Consider the following 19,876-nt stretch of genomic DNA (forward strand, 5'->3'; position numbering starts at 1 on the left):
AAGGTGACAACAACTTGTCACAGAGACCATGCTTGAAGTTCTCCCTTAGACCCAGTTCCAAATAGTTTAAGACTTGAACTGAACAAAGAGTAATGAGAAAATACATTTAAACCAGAGAATTCAGAGCCAAACACTTAGTCTATTTATACAGGAAGCATGTTAAAAGAACCAGGCTCACCAGGATAACAAATTCAGACTGTTTGAAGGCTGAAAGTTTTGAGTATGCATTAGAAATATTTTTTGAGGAAATAAAAAGAGAATTTTTACATCTTTGTACTCAGAGAAAATAATCAACTTTCCATTCAGTTTTTTTTGTACCATGAAAACAAACTTAACAAATACACAAATGGTTAGTTTTTGTATGCTACAGGTCAACATTCAATTGAAATTACTGATGGAGCCTGAAAATATAATAACTAAACTGATTTGAAAAACAATTCAGTAGAGATTTTCTTCTGCAAATAATTTTAGGACTAAAATAGTATTCATGATTAAGTCTGTCCTACCACTTTAACCTGCTGGATAAAACAGACCTATATATTTAAATCAGTTACTGTACGTTTTTAAAGACTCATTACAAAAGATTAAATGCTAAAAATAAAAATGCACTTATATATGTTTATTAAAAAATATTAATACTATTCCTAAATGACCAATATACATCATTTATAAAAGATTTTGTAAATATATAATGTAACAGCAAAACAAAAACTTAAAATAAAAACGTCATTAACTTGAAGCAATTATTTGCATAGGTATTTGTTGATATTTTTGAGTTTTTCCTTCTCCCACAACATATTTGGAAAATATTGCTCTCAACACTTTTCTAGCATCTATTTTTTAAATGCTTAATTGTTTTTATGTGATAATACCCTCACTTCTTTCAGGTCTACTTTAATATATTGATTGTTTCTATGAGAAGTGGAGGCCTGATATTTATTTTGGTTTCCAAAGACATTGTGATTATAATAAATGATTACTAAATGTTGACTAACTACATAACCTACAATGACAGATATTTAACTTTCCCATTCCAAATTCACTTATTACCTCTTTGCATTCTGCCATTGCCCCAAGAGGTGAATATTTATGAACTGCATCTACAAGCTCCCTTGTCCTCTGGCTTGAGTTTGAACAGTGGGAGAGACCAGAGGAGAGTAGGAGGCAGGAAGAGAGTGAGGTCAAGCTATTTTTAATTCTGGGTTCCTCTCTGCCAAAAATATTTCATCTGTTTTTATATAACTATTGTTTCTGGGGTTTGATAACTATTTATTCTTGCCTCTTCAGGCCTAGAAGTAGTAATGGTTCCCCACTGTTGCTCACTATCAGTTTTGCATTATCTGTGATAGGTTGCCAAATCTCGAGAGTTGTGAAAAATTGACATTGCTGATCAATCAAGAATTGTAGGATGAATCACCTAGTAAAGATATAATCTTATATGTACCCAATGACTCTTGAGATAGAGATGTTAGGAGCATATGTTCAAGTAGTATTGACAGTCAGATTTAGTTTGAAGACCAACGTTAAATTATATTCTGTCATTTGTGAATTTCTGCATAGAAAATAGAAATACAAGGTTCTCATTATGTTGTATTCTGACAGCTTTCAAATCCCTGCTTGGTTTTCTAGTAAGAAAAAGACAACTGAGAATATAAGGAGCCCAGTACATATTAAGTTCAATACCCTAAATATAACTGTCTGTGCAAGCCCTCACACAGATCATACTTTCTACTAATTAAGTAGAAACCAGACTTGTTTTCTCTATCTTTGCATCTAAGTATAATCATTTCCCAAGAGAGAAATTATCAAAAATGTTAGGTAATAATAATGATGGTAAGTCAAATACACATACACACATATTTCAAATCATAAGTGAACGGAACACAATTTTTAAGCCATGCCTTTAATGAAAGAATAGGCTTTTTTAATAACACATTTTTCTTTAACTCTTACATCAATCTGAAAAGTGGTCATCACTAAAAAAAGGTTTGATCAATGCTCACCATTCCTTTTTTTTTTTTTTTTTTTTTTAAGACAGAGTCCTGCTCTTTCACCCAGGCTGGAGTACAGTGGCGTGATCTTGGCTCACTGCAAGCTCCGCCTCCCGGGTTCACACCATTCTCTTGCCTCAGCCTCCTGAGAAGCTGGGACTACAGGTGCCCACCACCACACCTGGCTAATTTTTTTTTTTGTATTTTTAGTAGAGACGGAGTTTCACAGTGTTAGCCAGGATGGTCTCGATCTCCTGACCTCATGATCCGCCCGCCTCAGCCTCCCAAAGTGCTGGGATTACAAGAATGAGCCACCATGCCCAGCCTATGCTCTACCATTCTTTATAATGCAATGATTAAAAACAGAAATTTTGAATAAACTAAATGAGAATGTTCAATTCTTTGCTTTCCTAATGGCAGTTCGGAAATTCCAGGTCAGTTAACTCACATCTTCCCACTAACAATTTTCTCATAAATAGAATGAAGATAAGCATGGCTATGTCAGAGATATAACAACTCTTTAAGATAACGTGTATCAAATGCTCAGAACAGTTACTGTAACAAATACATAGCTGGACAAATGGCAATAAACATGATTGTTATTTCTGGTTTTGCTATGGGTTTCTTCACCATGCCAGGGATCAGCAGATTACCTCCTTCTCTGGGTATGGCACTTTCCTCACAGATTAAAAACACTGTTTACCTCAGGCTTTCACATTCCCTGGATCTTGGCAATTTAGGACAAAGCTAAAACCAAAGATATATTTAAAAAGCATCCCTCAGAAACTTCCCTCAAAGTTTCTCTAAGGTAACAGATTCTAGAGACCTCAAGATTTTCCAATTTGCCTTTGAATATCTACTTTATGTTTTCACTTTAAAAATATGCATTAAGCCTCAGTTAGGCTAAAAATTCTGGCTAAAGTAGCAATAAATTGATTACAAAAGCATAAACCATCAAGGACAAAACATAGAGAAAAGGAGACAGTAACATCAAAAATTTGAAGGCTAAACAGTAGATGGATCAGTAGTAACTTTTAGATGTAATTAGGTAATTTTTGGTTTGATATGGTTTGGTTGTGTCCCCACCCAAATCTCATCTTGAATTGTAACTCCCACAATTCCCACATGTCCTGGGAGGAACCTGGTGGGAGCTAATTGAATCATGGGGGTGGATCTTTCCCATGCTGTTCTCACGATAGTGAATAAGTCTCACGAGATCTGGTGGTTTTAAAATCGGGAGTTTCCCTGCACACACTCTCTCTTTTGTCTGCTGCTATGCATGTAAGATGTGACTTGCTCCTCCTTGCCTTGTGCCATGATTGTGAGGCCTCCCAAGCCATGTGGAACTGTAAGTCCAATAAACCTCTTTCGTTTGTAAATTGCCCAGTCTCAAGTATATCTTTATCAGCAGTGTGAAACGGACTAATACAATAAATTGGTACCAGTAGATTGGAGCACTGCTAAAAAGATATCTGAAAATGTGGAAGCGACTTTGGAACTGGGTAACAGGCAGAGATTGGAACAGTTTGGAGGCCTCATAAGAAGATAGGAAGATGTGGGAAAGTTTGGAACTTCCTAGAGACTTGTTGAATGGCTTTGCCCAAAATGTTCATAATGATATGGACAATACAATCCAGGCTGAGGTGGTCTCAGATGAAGATGAGAAACTTGTTGGGAACTGGAGCAAATGTGACACTTGTTATGTTTTAGCAAAGAGAATACAAGCATTTTGCCCCTGCTCTATTTGTGGAACATTGAACTTGAGAGTGATGAATTACGGTATCTGGCAGAAGAAATTTCTAAGCAGCAAAGCATTCAAGAGGTGACTTGGGTGCTATTAAGGGCATTCAGTTTTAAAAGGGAAACAGAGCATAAAAGTTTGGAAAATTTTCAGCCTGACAATGCAATAGAAATGAAAATCCCATTTTCTGATAAGAAGTTCAAGTGGTGTACAGAAGTTTGCTTAAGTAATGAGGAACCAAATGTTAAACTCCAAGACAATGGGGAAAATGTCTCCAGGGCATGTCAGAGACATTTGCAGAAGCCACTCCCATCACAGTTCTGGAGGTTTAGGAGGAAAAATGGTTTCCTGGGCTAGTCCCAGGGTCCCTCTGCTGTGAGCAGTCTAGGGACTTGGTGACCTATGTCCTAGCTGCTCCAGCTGTGACTAAAAGGGGCCAAAGTATAGCTCAGGCTGTTGCTTCAGAGGGTGGAAGCCCAAAGCCTTGGCAGCTTCCACGTGGTGTTGAGCCTGCAGATGCACAGATGTCAAGAATTGAGGTTTGGGAATCTCTGCATAGATTTCAGAGGATGTATGGAAATGCCTGCATGCCCAGGCAGAGGTTTGCTGCAGGGGAAGGGCCCTTAAGAAGAACCTCTGCCTGCTTGGGCAGTGCAGGAGGGAAAAGTGGGGTCAGAGCCCCCACACAGAGTCCCTACTGGGGCACCGCCTAGTGGAACTATGAGAAGAGGGTCACTGTCATCCAGACCCCAGAATGGCAGTTCACCAACAGCTTGCAACGTGGGCTTGGAAAAGTTGCAGACACTCAATGCCAGCCCATGAAAATAGCCAGAGGGAGGCTGTACCCTGCAAAGCCACAGGGGTGGAACTGCCCAAGACCATTTAGAACACACCTCTCGCATCAGCATGACCTGAATGTGAGACATGGAGTCAAAGCAGATCATTTGGGAGATTTAAGATTTGACTGCCCCACTGGATTTTGGACTTGCATGGGCCTGTAGCTCCTTTGTTTTGGTGAATTTCTCACATTTGAAATGACTGTATTTACCCAATGCCTGTACCCCCATTGTATCTAGGAAGTAACTAACTTGCTTTCAATTTTACAGGATGGAAAAACAGGTGGAAGGGACTTGCCTTGTCTCAGATGAGACTTTGGATTGTGGACTTTGAGTTAATGTTAAAATAAGTCAAGACTTTGTGGGGGCTGTTGGGAAGGTATGATTGATTTTAAAATGCAAGGACATGAGATTTGGGAGGGCCGGGGGTGTAAAGATATGGTTTGGCTATGTCTCAACCCAAATCTCATTTTGAATTTTAACTCCCACTATTCCCACATGTCATGGGAGGAACCTGGTGGGATGTAATTGAATCATGGGAGCAGGTCTTCCCCATGCTGTTCTTCTGATAGTGAAAAAGTCTCATGAGATATGATGGTTTTAAAAATGGGAATTTCCCTGCATAAGCGCTCTCTTTTGTCTGCTACCATCCAGGTAAGGTGTGACTTGCTCCTCCTTGCCTTCTGTCATGATTGTGAGGCTTCCCCAGCCATGTGAAACTATAAGTCCAATAAACCTCTTTCTTTTGTAAATTGCCCAGTCTTGGGTATCTCTTTATTAGCAGCATGAAAACAGATTAACACAGAGTCCTCTAAAGGCTCAGAAATCAGTGGCACCAAGTCCCATGAATGAAATGATAGTGAAGGGAAAACAAAACAAAACAAACAGGTGGATTGGTTGAAAATGTGTTTATAGGCGGGTTGCAGTGGCTCATGCCTGTAATCCCAGCACTTTGGGAGGCTGAGGCGGGCAGATCACCTGTGATCAGGTGTTCGAGACCAGCCTGACCAACATGGTAAAACCCCATCTCTACTAAAAGTACACAAATTAGCCGGGTGTGGTGGGCACCTGTAATCCCAGCTACTCATTGCTTGAACCTAGGAGGCAGAGGTTGCAGTGAGCCGAAATTGCACCACAGCACTCCAGCCTGGGCGACAAGAGTGAGACTGTCTCAAAAAAAAAAAAAAAAATGTGTATAAGGCAATTGAACATCAGGATTTCCTTACCAACTCTGCATAGGTATTGACTGCTAGTTTTCTACCATGATGTAAAACCAGAAGAGCGGGCTCTGGAGATGATAAAACCAAAGTTCTCTGTGCTTCAGAAGTTGGAAAATTAAACTGAAAACAACATAACTACGTAGGTTGCCTACTGAACATGGAGGCCTCTAAATCCCTTCCTTTATTAGTATCCTGAAGCACTGGCAGTTTTATCCTCTACAAAGAAGATAAACATAGTCCTCTGTGGGTAATCTAACCAGTCAAACATGACATCAGTGAATGCTGCATTGAGATAACTTGTATAGTATACACCATCACACAGTGTTGCCACCATAGATTTACAATAGACATAAATGGATTCAAAAATATAGATAATAATAAAATTATAGTAAAATAGAGGAATTGGTGATTTTTTTTAGTATTTTTACCTGTTTCTGTGATAACTTACTTAAGGATAGGTTAATATAATTTAAAATCATTAATATAATGGCTACTTTTACAACTTGCTTTCAAAACATCTAAAAATTCAACAACCAACTCTAAGTCAGTATGAGCTGACTCCAGGATGCCACAGTTTATGTCTAGAACAACTAGGCGTTTTGTAATCTTCATGTTAAGTCTTCTGCTACATTGTCCAAAATATAAGTCCTAATTAAGCCTCTAAAAAATTGGGCTGATAGTTTTCTAAAGAAATTTTTTTTTAACATATCAAGAGTTTACTTACATCCAAAGAAATAAACATCCTGCACTTGGCAGGATAAAGAAAATTGGATAAATCACTTTTTTCCTAATGATTTGTATTATCTCAAGAAATACATAACATTAGTCACGTGTATATGAAATGAGTAGGATTTAAAAAATCAGTCAAATTCAATGTATTCAAATGACCATAAAGACAATTTTTTATTTAAAGAAAAGCCTTTCTCCGGGCAATTGATGAGTTCTATGTGTACATTCAGTAGTTCAAATGTAATGAAAGCAATGTTTTTCTTTTCATTTGCTGGGTAACTTCCACAATTAAAATAATGTATTTTTTATTAAGGTACGTATTAAACAAATGCATGCATTACATTATCTATTTGAAGACTTTCCATCAGAATAAACTATTATATATTTTCACCTAAAGAATTTAAAAATATTACAATCATGAAACCTATTCAACAAAAAAGTTTGTGAATTATGCATTTTTAAAAAGTAAAATAAGTTTACTTACTTTTACTTTTTCTTTTAAAAAGAAAATAAGCAGTAACTCACAGTGACTTACTGCCTGGCCGGTAGACAACAATAATATGAAACCTTAAATACCAGACTGTCTGGCTCACAAATGGACCTTGACCACACAAGCAGAGGCCAGGGGTGACAAACTATGTTATCAGGATAGCAAAAATACAGCAATAAATATAGCTATCATTTACTGAGTACATCAGCTAGGCATTGTGTCAGGTGCTATATATGTCTTTTTTCTTAATTTAATCTTCCCAAGAGTTGTAGAAAAAACATTAGTCTCTTCAGAAGATATTAAGACTCATAAAAATTAAGCAATTTGTCCACGATCAGACAATTATAAATAGACATAACTGGGATTTTGCTAATCTGACATCAAAGTCCACCAACTTTTCTGTCCTCTATGCTTATATTGATACTCTTCATAGTTATTGCTAATTATTGCACCAGTTTAGTTTATTATATATATCGTAGTTCTTCCTTTTGCAAACATTATACTTTTTCCAGGAACCTTTGACACATACTGAAATACACATGACTTCCACTCACACTCTTTATCCTTTGGAATGTTTCCATCTCTTGTGTCCTCTCAATGCCAATAAAAAAGACATCTGAAACTTCTCCTCATATGAGAATCGCCTCTTTATCACCAGAACAACTATAATCTCTCCCATCTTTGCACAATCTATATGCATGTGTCACATATGCTCATGTGTTTATTAGTTTTATTTATCAGTGATTCTTAAAGTATAGCACTTGAATACACAATATCCACATCACCTAGGTACTGATTGGAAATATAAAATTTTAGATCTCACCCTGACCTCATTACTTGGAAACTCTGGGGGTTTGCCCAGCAAAGTGAGTACCTCCAGATGATTCTGATGCATGACAAAGTGTAAGAACCACTGTATTAGAGAATATAAGGAACTTATCCTTTCTTACCTATATAATACACACATATACATATCAGTGTGCATTTTTGGTGTCTTTATAGTCTTAGGTTAATATTCTGTTATGATTAAAGTGATAGCTTATACCCTTGCAGGAAGAAAAAGTTCTTCCATTGAAGGAGGGGATCTTCCAAAGTGAAATATCACAGGAAAGTGCCAATTCTGGAATAGAAAAGGAAACTAGCACAGTAGGTCACAAAAAGACAAAAGGCTCTAAGAATACCAGTCCTAATTGGCAGAATACGAAGATACGGGGAAAACTGGCCCCTATGCGCCTCACCCAGGCAGGCCAAAATCTAATCACCAAGCTAGACACTGGTTCCCTAACCTAGATAAAAAATTCAAAATCTCCTGGTACCTTAATATAAGAGGAATTTCCTACACTTAGGAGATTCAAATTTGGTAACACTAGCATCTAGCTTTACAACATGTACTACACATGATTTTGATGTGATTTGAGAACCACAAGTAAGGATGAGGCAATATGTTCCAGAAAGCAGCCGCCTGGAATGAGACACTAAAATTGCAACTTAGTATTTATCTCTACTAGGTTATCCCTGAGGCTTCAGTGATGAACTGTTTAGAAAGAATAACCTGATCTGACCTAGGATTAAGGAAAATATTTGTTTCCATATTTAGGGCAACTCTGTAAGTTACCTTAGGGGTGATTAGGGAGCAAGCTCTATGAGGCAAAAGATGCTTTAAACAAATAAAGACTGTGCTTCGAGTGTTGATGGTTTTTATAAAAGGTAGTGACGAATTATAGTCTTTCTCCCCTTAAACATGATATGGATTTTCTTGAAAGCAGAAATGATGCTTTCGTGTTGTTGTTGTTATTGTTGTTGTTGCTGCTGCTGCTGCTGTTGCTGTTATTTTGAACAAATTTCAATATGTAACAAAACTTGCATGCAACAGAGAGAGCAGTGAGACCCAATAATGATTAAGGGTCTACCTTGTGCAGGCACCTTTAAAAATTTTTACTTCCAACTTTTATTTTAAGTTCCGGGATACATGTGCAGGATACACAGGTTTGTTATGTAGGTTAACATGTGCCATGACAGTTTGCTGCACAGATCATCCCAGCATCTATTAGCTATTCTTCCTGAAGCCCTCCCTCCTTCTATCCCCAACCCTCCAACAAGCCCCAGTGTGTGCTGTCCCCTCTCCACCATATGTGCGTGTGTTCTCATCATTTGGCTCCCACTTATAAGTGAGGACACACAGTATTTGGTTTTCTGTTCCTGCACAGGCACTTTTTAATATGCTTTAAATGCACCATCTTATTTGCTTCTCAAATCTCCTATTTTAGTTTCATTGTATGTAAAGGGCACTGAAGTTCCAAGAAGCTATAATAACACATCAGTAAGCAGCAAAACTGGATTTTAATCTTGTTGGTCTTAAACATAGTAGCTTATGTTTTTATCCATGAGATTAATTGAATCTTATTTATGTATTTATTTTAAAATATTGATATTTAAATAATGCCTTTAAATTATTAAAAGGCAAATAAATGACATGGTACAGCATGCACTATTGTATTCTTCTAAGATATTTGCTTTCTCCTATGGTATAGTGATAAGCTATACTTATAAGGCTATCCTCTGCTCCACTTTTCGAATCAACCCCCACCTGTACGTTATAGTATTTCATTTGGCTGCCAGTTAAACTAGTAAATAAGTAAATAAATTAGTGGTCTATACAAAATAGAAGTTTTTTTTTCTCTAATTTGCATGACACAGACTGAGAAGGTCATGTAGTGAAGTATCATGCTCCATATGGATCCTGTCAAGAACCCAGGCAACTTCTATGACCACTAGGGATGGCATTTCTCACAGTTCAAAATGGTTCCACGCTGTAGGCATTAGTTCAGAGAAAGAAAGAGAGATGAAAGCAAAGGAAGCTGTCCAGCAGCTAATATATAAAGCCTCTTCTAATGTCCTTTTCTTTCCTAAATTCAGTCATATGACCACATCTAGATGCAAGAAATGCTAGCAAATGAAATCTTCATTCTATTGTCATTGTATTTCCAACAAAAATTCCGGTAATGGAGGAAGGGAAAACAGATATTGAGAATAATCATTAGCCTATAAGACATGATCTAATTGCCATTTGGAAAAAGACCAAAATTAAAAATGAAAGCCTTTCCCAACATGCATTGTCGTCATCCTCTTCAAATTCTCATTTTATGTCGAGTTGAAACTAATATTGCTGAAGAAACCTGAGGCTATACCTAAAGGAGACAATTCAATGAACATAAAGCAAAGGTGTCTCCTTGGAGCAGAAACATGTAATTTAAGAAATATTAATCGTACTATTTAGCTTTTTTCTTTTAATATAATTCAAAATCTAAGCACTAAAATACAGGATGATAAATTGCCTGAATTTTTGCATTTTTGTATAACTGCATATTCCCTTTATAACAAGAAATAATTATTGGAAGTTTAATCTTAGATAACTATATATATATATATATATATATATATATATATATATATATATATGGAATCATGTAATTTACCCAAATTTGGCACACTGTTAAGAATAACATGGGACTGTTTCTTTGCACGTGTTTAACACAGCTTTTGGCACTATTTTGATTAAGTATTACTACAATAAATGTTGTAACACTACTTTCCAAGAGAGGAAATAAAAGATAAATTCTGTGTGCCTTTTGGGACACTTAACAGAGAAACAAATTAAAGGACATTCCAGTCCAAGTGTGTGCTGGCAAATGGAAAAGACAAATGATCAGAATGAGACAAAATGAGGAAATACAGCATTTTCCAACACTCATTACATGGACTAGAACTATGCCGTTGGCAAAATAAATAAATAAATAAAATTGCAAAATTCTGGAAAAAAGAAGGAGCGCAAATTGCCTCAGTGTAGGAAACTTCTGATAACCTTCAATATGCAGACAGGTATTATCTTTCACCATAAGTGCACAGATGGAGTGATTTTCAAATTATTTGAGTTTAGAACATTATTCCTCAAAATAAGTATTATACTAGTTTTTATACTAGTTAGCTCTTGATAGGACATCTTTTCAGAAAATATTCACTTGGGAGCTTTACATATCACTGACAATTGCTCATTTTACTTCATTTAAGCTGACTACTAAAAATCTCTTCCTATCTCAAGCAAGAACTCCATCTTTGGCTCCTCAGAGACCCTACTGCATGAGCATCCTTGCTGAAATTCTTTCTCACATGTTTCATGGACCCCCTTTTGTTCTGCCCTTTCTTTCTAACCCCTAATTATTTGTCAACATTTTCCCGAAAAACTGTTGTTGACTCTATATTCAATACCTAAATATATTTCTTTCTACAAGGAAGATGTATGTGACAAAAGTTCAAAATCTGAATTTAGGAGGAAACAAGTGAAAATAATCCACACTCTAGCTGGACTGAGATGATGTGGCCTGACGGGAGGCTGAGTGGCAGGTTAGATGTCACCAACAGAAAATATGCATAATAAGACCAGTGCCTAGTTCTGCTTGTGACATCAGATGTGATAAGAGTGCATGAGAAAGTGAAATATGAGAAGCTTGTTGTAGATACACGCATGTGCACTCATTGGCATGATTCCTTTTTCTCGTTCTATACTAAGGGTTATGTTTTCTGATTTTTAATCATTCCTTAAATATGAACCATGAGGCTGGGTGCAGTGGCTCACACCTGTAATCCCAGCACTTTGGGAGGCCAGGACGGGTGGATCACTAGGTCAAGCGATCAAGACCATCATGGCCAATATGGTGAAACCCCATCTCTATCAAAAATACAAAAATTAGCTGGGCATGGTGACGCGAGCCTGTAGTCCCAGCTACATGGGAGGCTGAGGCAGGAGAGTCATATAAATATATATATACCATGAAAAAACATTAACAGCATCAACTTATACTGAAATATTGCAGAATTAATTCTATTGGCAATATGTATGTGGGATGTGTTTAATGTGAATTGAAGAATAACATGAGAGGTGTTTATGAGATAAAGTTATTTTTCAAAATATATGTATTTATTTATTTTTATATATACTGATTTAGCAAGTAATAAATGAGTGACTAATATGGACCTAACACTATGTTAGATGTTATGGAAAGAAGATGAGACAGACATAGCCAGTGCCCACAAAGACTTCTAATGCACTGTGTGTTGAAGGGTGAGAGCCAAGTATAAAGCTAGGTATCATGGAATGTGACAAACTTGTTATGTTGATGTTTTAGTCCATTCTCACATTGCTATAAAGAAATACCTGACTGGGTAACTAAAAAGAGAAGATGTTAAATTGGCCCATGCTTTCACAGGCTGTACAAGAAGCATGAGGCTGGCTTCTGGGGAAGCCTCAGGAAACTTACAGTCATGGTGGAAAGTGAAAGGGTAGTAGGCATGTCAGGAGCAAGAGAGAGACAGAAGGGGGGAAGTGTTACATAGTTTTAAATAACCAGATCTTGTGAGAACTCACTCACTATTACAAGGACAGTACAAGATGGATGATGTTCAGTCATTCAAGAGAAACTGCCCCCATGATCCGGTTACCTCCTAGCAGGCCCAACCTCCAATATTACAGATTACAATTTGACATGATGTTTGGTAGGGGCACAGATCCAAACCATATCAGTTGATATAGTGGTGACCTGAATAAAATGTTACTGAAGCACAGTGACAGTAGGGAAAATAATTAATTTTGCTGAGGCAATGAAGTAGATCTGCAAGTTTCTGCAGAGACGATAACAACTGACCTAAGCTAAAGACTTAATTCCTGAGAGGAGACAGTATGAGGATTGAATTGGAGGGATAAATGTAAATGAACTTTCTGAGATAAGCAATTCTAGCAAAATAATCTAGCAAAATTTCTCAACACCCTAAGTCCTTTGCATTTTTTAAACAAACGAATGTATGAGTAAATGGATGACTAAATGAAACATAGATGGCAGGTGGTCGGGAGGAGGATGACTGGTATAGTGAAATAGACAGATGCAACTCAACATCTGAAGGACTCCACTTGCCATGAATTGTAAAACTCAGTCTAACCTCTGAAATCAATGGGATATCTATGTGCAACCAGAAAAATAAACAAACACAAAAGCTAGAAACTGACCTTATGCTTTACCTAAAAATTGATTCAAAATAGATAATAGACCAAGATGTAAAACACAAAATTATAGAACTTCTAAAAGGAAGCATAAGAGAAAATGTACATAAGCTTAGGTTTGATGATAAATTTTAAATACAGCACCAAAAGCATAATACACTAAGGAAAAAACTGATCAGCTAGACTTTATTAAAATTAAAAATATCTTCTGTTCTAATGACCTTGTTAAGAAAAGCATCAAGCCACAGCCTGGGTGTGGAAGGGAATTGAAAAATATATATCTGAAAAAACTTGTATCCAAAATATAAGAATATTTAAAACTCAAAATTAAGAAAGCAAATAACCCTCATTAAAGTAGTACAGAATATCTGAACCCACATCTCACTAAAGAAGATATAAACATAAATAAACAAAACAATTGATATTCAACATACTTTGTCACTAGAGGAATGAAAATTTAAAAAACAATGTAATACCATTGTATACTTGTAGAATGTTAAAAATTTTAAAAACCAAAATGGACAGTGGCAATGGCTGGTGAGGATGCAAACAACAGGTACCCACTCTCAATCATTTCAGCCATTGCTGGTTGGAATGCAAAAGACTTCAGCCACTTTGGAATACAATTTGGCAGTTCATTATAAAATTAAAGTAGTCTAGATAATATCAAGACTCTGAAAAGCGGATGAAGTGAAATTATTGGGACACCTTGAAAAGGAACCAATATGTTCATAACTGACCTTCTTACTCCAACCTTGAGATCAGAGAGTGAATTTCACTTAGCTAATTCAAGCAGGGAGGGATTTATTATATAGCATTCGGTAGAGTACAGAATCTTGGAAAGGCTAGAAAAAGTGACTCAGGACTGAGCTTCCAAGAAGAACTTTGGTGGAGGTGCTGGAGGGAAGCCTAGAACCCCAATACTTCAGTAACAGTCAGAAAACAGCTTCCACCAGTACTGAGCCAAAAAGGGCAGTGCTCCTGCTATTCCCAGGGACAGTGGGAAAAAGCCACATGCCCACCTTTTCTGTGACATAATTTTGTTAGCAACCAGTATCTCTGGGTGTATTTGAGTGGTATAATCTAAATCACATGATAACATACCAGCTCCCTAGTGGAAAGGGAAACTGGGAATAAAAGATTGGTTTGTTTATTTGTTTTTTCTTTGTTAGTTTGAAGGCATTCTGAGAAACTGAATGTTCTCATGATGTAACATGCAGTTACATTGTAAACAGAGTATTCAAAAATTAAATGTAAACAGGCTATTCAAAAATGTTTGAGTGACTTAAAGTAACTGATATCCTTACTTAGACACTAAATGTATGAGAATGAGAGTCATAGCGAAATAATAACAACTATGAAATTAGAGTTGGGGTAAAATGTCATTAATTTAAAGAGGGATAGATGGCAATTATTTTTGATTTTTAGTAGTGTAGAAGCCAGTGAGCAGGGAAGGAGGAAAAAGAGGAGGATTTAGTGTGTCCTATGTAAGGCAGTCTAAACTTTTTTTGCAACTGTGCCTAGTTATTTTATTATGATTTTTTCAGAAATGAGGGTCTCACTATATTGCCCAGGCTTGTCTGTAACTCCTGGCCTCAAGTGATCCTCCTACCTGAGCCTCCCAAAGTGTTAGGATTACAGGTGTGAACCACCACACCCAGCCCCTAACATTTAACTGAAAAAAAATCCTTTTAGAATTTGTACCTCCACCTTCCCAAAAACTAGAGCCCAAGCTTGTAGAATACATATCTAATACAATCAGCGTGGACTCCGTTTGAGTATGTGATGTCCAAATAAAAGAGAAAAATCTATATTTTGATGTTCTTTTAAATAAAAGCACAGAAATCATATTGGTTGAAGAGTGACTATTTTTTGACATACTAATATGGCATAAATAAATCAATTTTGCTGCTGAAAACTAATCTGACACACTTTGATATATTCATTAGATAAAGTAATGCTGTATTAAACTTTAAAGAGGTGAATGTGTAACTGTCACTAATGTTTATAGTTACATGTGATTTCCTTCTATCTTGAATTTTTTTTTGAGTTAAGGTAATAAAGCATTTTGGATTCATTAACCAATGTCAAAAGAAATTTCCCCTAGTAGAATTTCTGTTAGTCAGAAATTTAAGGGGAATTGGTGTTTAGAAAAATGATTGGTTTTATTTCCAATAATAAATATCTGCTGGTGCATTTCATAATGTGAAATTTTGCACTGCTGAAATCATTCTTTTCATTCAAGTCTCTAATAAGACAAAATATTTTAAAATTTGAATTGGATTTTCCTTTTAGGTCAGAATAGCCCTTAAAAATTCACCACTTGGCCAGAATGATTACCCTATGTAAAATATACATGACAAAGAACATATAAATACAGTTAATATATAAAACCTATGCAATATCAGAATATCCAACTAAAGTGACATCATAAAAATTTTCCAGAAAATGCCAGCTATGATAAATTCCATTTTTACTGTTAAAACTTTATTTTGGGGGCTAAAACTCACTATAAGGTAATGGTGGCTTTGGGGCCCCAAGCCCATAAATCTGTGATAAATTAGATATGCATCACTTACATTCCAGGGTTCTTGGAAAATCCTTATCCTTAGGGTGGTTACGGTAGGTCACACAGACACACATATCTATTTTAAATTATAGAATTTCCACGTGTATAATAACTTAGAAGGCCCTAAGTAAACTACCTTAACTCCTTGATTCTCATGCTCAAGTATTTGAAACCTTAGATTTACAGCAGCTAATCAGTTAGACAAATATTGTGCTTTAAAACAAACAAAGCCACAATAACAAAAACAGAGTCAGAAGTTATGTGTCAGTGCCCAGCCTGCAATAACTGATGCTGAGACAGTTTTACTGGAATGTTATCCATTTCACTTGAAAGGGTCAGTGCTGCTAGAGACAAAAATCACACCTCCTAAAACAGGAAATAATAATAGTTTGCTTTAGACCGAGAATATTGTCATTTTGTCAAGGGTACTGTTTTCCAAAAGAGAAGCTAGGTCCAGGCAGTCAGCGTACTCTAACAATTAGCCTAATAAAATAAGAAGCAATTAAAGTACTTTTTGTTCTTCTGAATCACAGAAATACCAAAGTGAAGAGGATTTCCAGGAAACCTGAGACCTTTTCTAATAAAACTCTAATTTGAAGCTCTCGTTTATAATGAGGCCAAAGCTGAAAATATTTGTTAGTTTAAACTCTCTGAAATACTTCAGAAAAAGTTTTAATTATTTATTAAAAAAATAGCCACACATAACATTAGATTTAAACAAAATTTATATTTTTCAATATTTGCATTCTGGAAGAAAATAAATAAGTAGATTTGTTAAAATAAAATGTTAAATTTCTATTCAAAAATCAAGGAAATTTTGTAAGAAAATTTTGAGATTCTTATTAAAGACAAACATTTTACTACTTAACAAATGCTCTTTTTAAGATGTTCAGTAATTTATAATTGATCATGAAATGTTACAATTCCATTCTGCCAATTATTTTGTGATATTTTTACTAAAAATTTCCTTTCGATGCATGGTCATAAAATTAGAGATAGGAAATTTTTACAATACTGGAATTACATTTATCATAAAAATTGAAACATATTCTTTTTCTATTTCCAATTTTTATCCAAGCAATAAATGAATATGGTAGAAATAAAATTGTACAGAAGAGTTTATAATGTGCCCTATATCTCTCAAACACAAGACCTCCTTCTCTGTAGAAACTACTTTCAACTCTTGGTTTGGAGTTTCTTTTGGTAGTTAACTCCTTAACTTTCATAACCACATACACTTTAGTTATAATTTTATAATTTTAAAATTTGTTTTTAAAGAAAATATTTAATTCACACAATCCTCTTTCCCTTCCCTAAATTAGTATTTTTACTTCCAGTTCTTACTTCATCATCTCTACCTAATCTCTTTGATTAATCTCTACATTCAATTTTGAAAATCATAACACATCTCTCCTTTAACATATATCATTTACTTTATTCTGTCATATTTTTAGCCACACCTTTACTTTTAAATTGCCATAATCTATAGATAATATTTGCATTCTATTCTGTAATTATATGTATTCCAGTGCTGTTTTATTTGGAGAGACCTTCCCTAAAACACCGACTTCTCTCTTTCCCCTCCCTAACTTCTCACCAAATAAGAAAGGACTTATTTAATAGGCAAATCTGAGAGGAAAAACTAATGTAGTAAACGCATTTATTATTTTTCTCTTTGGGCCTCACCTATGCCCCTGAGAATGCACATCTGTGCTAAGTTTAGCAGGATAGAACTGGAGAGAAGCTAGGTAGGTATCCAGCATGGGCTGTAACTATTTAATTTTGAGGTGCAGCAATAGCAAACCCTCTTGTGTATCAGAACTAAGTCACATTCTCAACATGAGCTTTATCAATATGAGATAACCCTTTAATTTCATCTACATGACTCCTAACACAATATTTTTTACTGATTTTAAAATTTGTATAATTTATTAGTGATATCAAACATTATATCAAGATCAATAAGAAAAAACAGAAGGCAGGTCATCCTTGTGGCTGGTACGATTCCTCTTACTGAACAAACCTCTGCTATACTTTGTGGTAGCCTTGATAAATAGTGTATATGTGGATTTGGGGGAGTAAACAACACACTTACATAGATGTGTTGTCTGCAGTTAGTGGGGACCATGAGAGTTTTTGTTTTTGATCATTTCCAGGGGTTTAGGGTGTGATCTTTGGCTGGTTTTTGTAATTGTGTGGTTGGTTTTTAATAGAGACAGTCCAAATAGGTAGCTTTAGACTTTAAGTTTGGCTAACAAGCTATGAAGTATCTCTATCTTGGTGAACCCCTGCAGTTTATAGAGGTTTTGGCAGCAAGTCAGTAGATGTTTTAAACTGGGAGGGCTGCAGCCTCCAGCCTTAGCAAATTCAGCTTGTAAGAGTGACACAAAACTTAGTAAGCAGACGAAGATTTCATTTAGGGGAAACAATTTTTATATTAAAATCTGCAAGCCCCAAAAATGTTGGGAACAGGCCCCAAAATCTGGCCATAAACTGGCCCCAAAACTGGCAATAAACAAAATCTCTGCAGCACTGTGGCATGTTGGTGATGACCTTGACACCCACGCTGGAAGGTTGCTGGTTTACCAGAATGAGGGCAAGGAACACCTGGCCCACCAAGGGCGGAAAACTGCTTAAGGCATTCTGAAACCACAAACAATAGCATGAGCAATATGTGCCTTAAGGATATGTTCCTGCTGCAGATAACTAGCCCAACCCATTCCTTTATTTCAGCCCATCCCTTTATTTCCCATAAAGGAATAATTTTAGTAAATCTATAATCTATAGAAACAATGCTTATCACTGGCTTGCTGTCAATAAATATGTGCGTAAATCTCTGTTCAAGGCTCTGAAAGCTATGAGACCCATGATTTCCCACTCCACACTCTATATTTCTGTGTGTGTGTCTTTAATTCCTCTAGCACTGCTGGGTTAGGGTCTCCACGACCGAGCTGGTCTCGGCACAAAGAGGTAAAGTTTTTTCTTCTATTGTTTTCCTCTGTTAGATCTGCATAGGACTTTAGGACTTAAGTGGCAAAGGATATGATACAGAGCCCTGGTGAGATGCTAGCTTCAGATAATAATTTGTGGTGAATATAGACAAGCAATATTCAGTCATCTGCCCAAATTTTGTTCCTTTTGTATGTTGTTTGGAATTGCCCTCAAGGAACTTCAGAACAAGAAAGGAAAGGGTGGAGAGGTTCACTATAAATTTACGTAACTTATTTGCCAGATCTTTAGAGTTCCGCTACACACATGCACACACGTGTGCACACACACACAGACACATATGCATGCACGTGCACATACAGCTTTAAAACAGCTCCATACATGTAAGAACTGGGGGTTTATATTTCAGAGAATAAAATTGTCATATCTATATGCATAGAAAGATTCTGATGGTCTTGAACATTTAAAGGAAGGTTGCCAGTAGTTGAGTGAAGAAAGAGTGGATAAGGAGAGAGGGGACACACAGAGGAACTTCTAGGGTGAAGTAACAGTACTGTGGTAGTGAACTCATGATTTAACCTATTTGTCAAAACCCATCAAACTGTACATCACAAAGAGTAAACTTTAATGTATGTAAACCTTTAACAAATCAGCCAGGATCTTGGGGATTTCAGGATGGAATGCAGGCTATGGCAAATAAACTTATTTATATCATGAATATGAGGCAAAACTGTGCTGAAGGAAGTGAGGAGCAAAAAGAAGCTGACCTTAGTTTATTTGGAAAGCAATGTGTTTTTTTTACTGGAAGCTGTAAGACTAGAGACAAAAGGAAACATACATCAATGCTATACTTCATAAATTTGCTTCTCTTAGGTCCAGATTAATAGTTCTGAAACTGATTTACATGTATAATAGGGTTGATCAAATGAGAAAATAGATATTGGATAGTGGAAACTGCATTACTCACTGTCAGAGAGGGAATTTAAAGATAAACAAGAAAGAAGGCTAGAAAGGCCCCTGTGGTAACTGAATTGGAGTCAGAAACATTAGTATGAACGCATGATTAGCTTTGTGTGTGTGGGTGTGTGTGGGTGTGTGTTGTGTTTGTGCATGCGTGCATACACACTCCACCTCTTGTTGTCGACTGTGCATAGAACTTCATTTCTAAAAGAATGGAAGTTAACTTCACAGTGGAATAAGTTGATAAGGACTGCTCTAACTAAGTAATCACAGTTAACATGTCCAGCATCATTATGAATAAAAACATCAAACAATCTCAGATTGAGAGACTTTCTATAA

General features: G+C 36.1%; 1 long non-coding RNA gene across 1 annotated transcript in view; it reads right to left on the minus strand.

The window, feature by feature from the left end:
- LOC107986901 (uncharacterized) overlaps nt 1-7,060 on the minus strand; it is a 34,966-nt gene extending 27,906 nt beyond the window's left edge. The window contains exon 1 of the long non-coding RNA XR_001745735.2: nt 7,002-7,060. This is a non-coding gene — a long non-coding RNA (uncharacterized LOC107986901). The remainder of the gene's footprint in view (nt 1-7,001) is intronic.
- Between the last annotated feature and the right edge of the window lie 12,816 nt (nt 7,061-19,876).

The sequence above is a fragment of the Homo sapiens genome, chromosome 8 (genome assembly GCF_000001405.40).
Source record: "Homo sapiens chromosome 8, GRCh38.p14 Primary Assembly".
NCBI classification, from domain to species: Eukaryota; Metazoa; Chordata; class Mammalia; order Primates; family Hominidae; genus Homo; species Homo sapiens.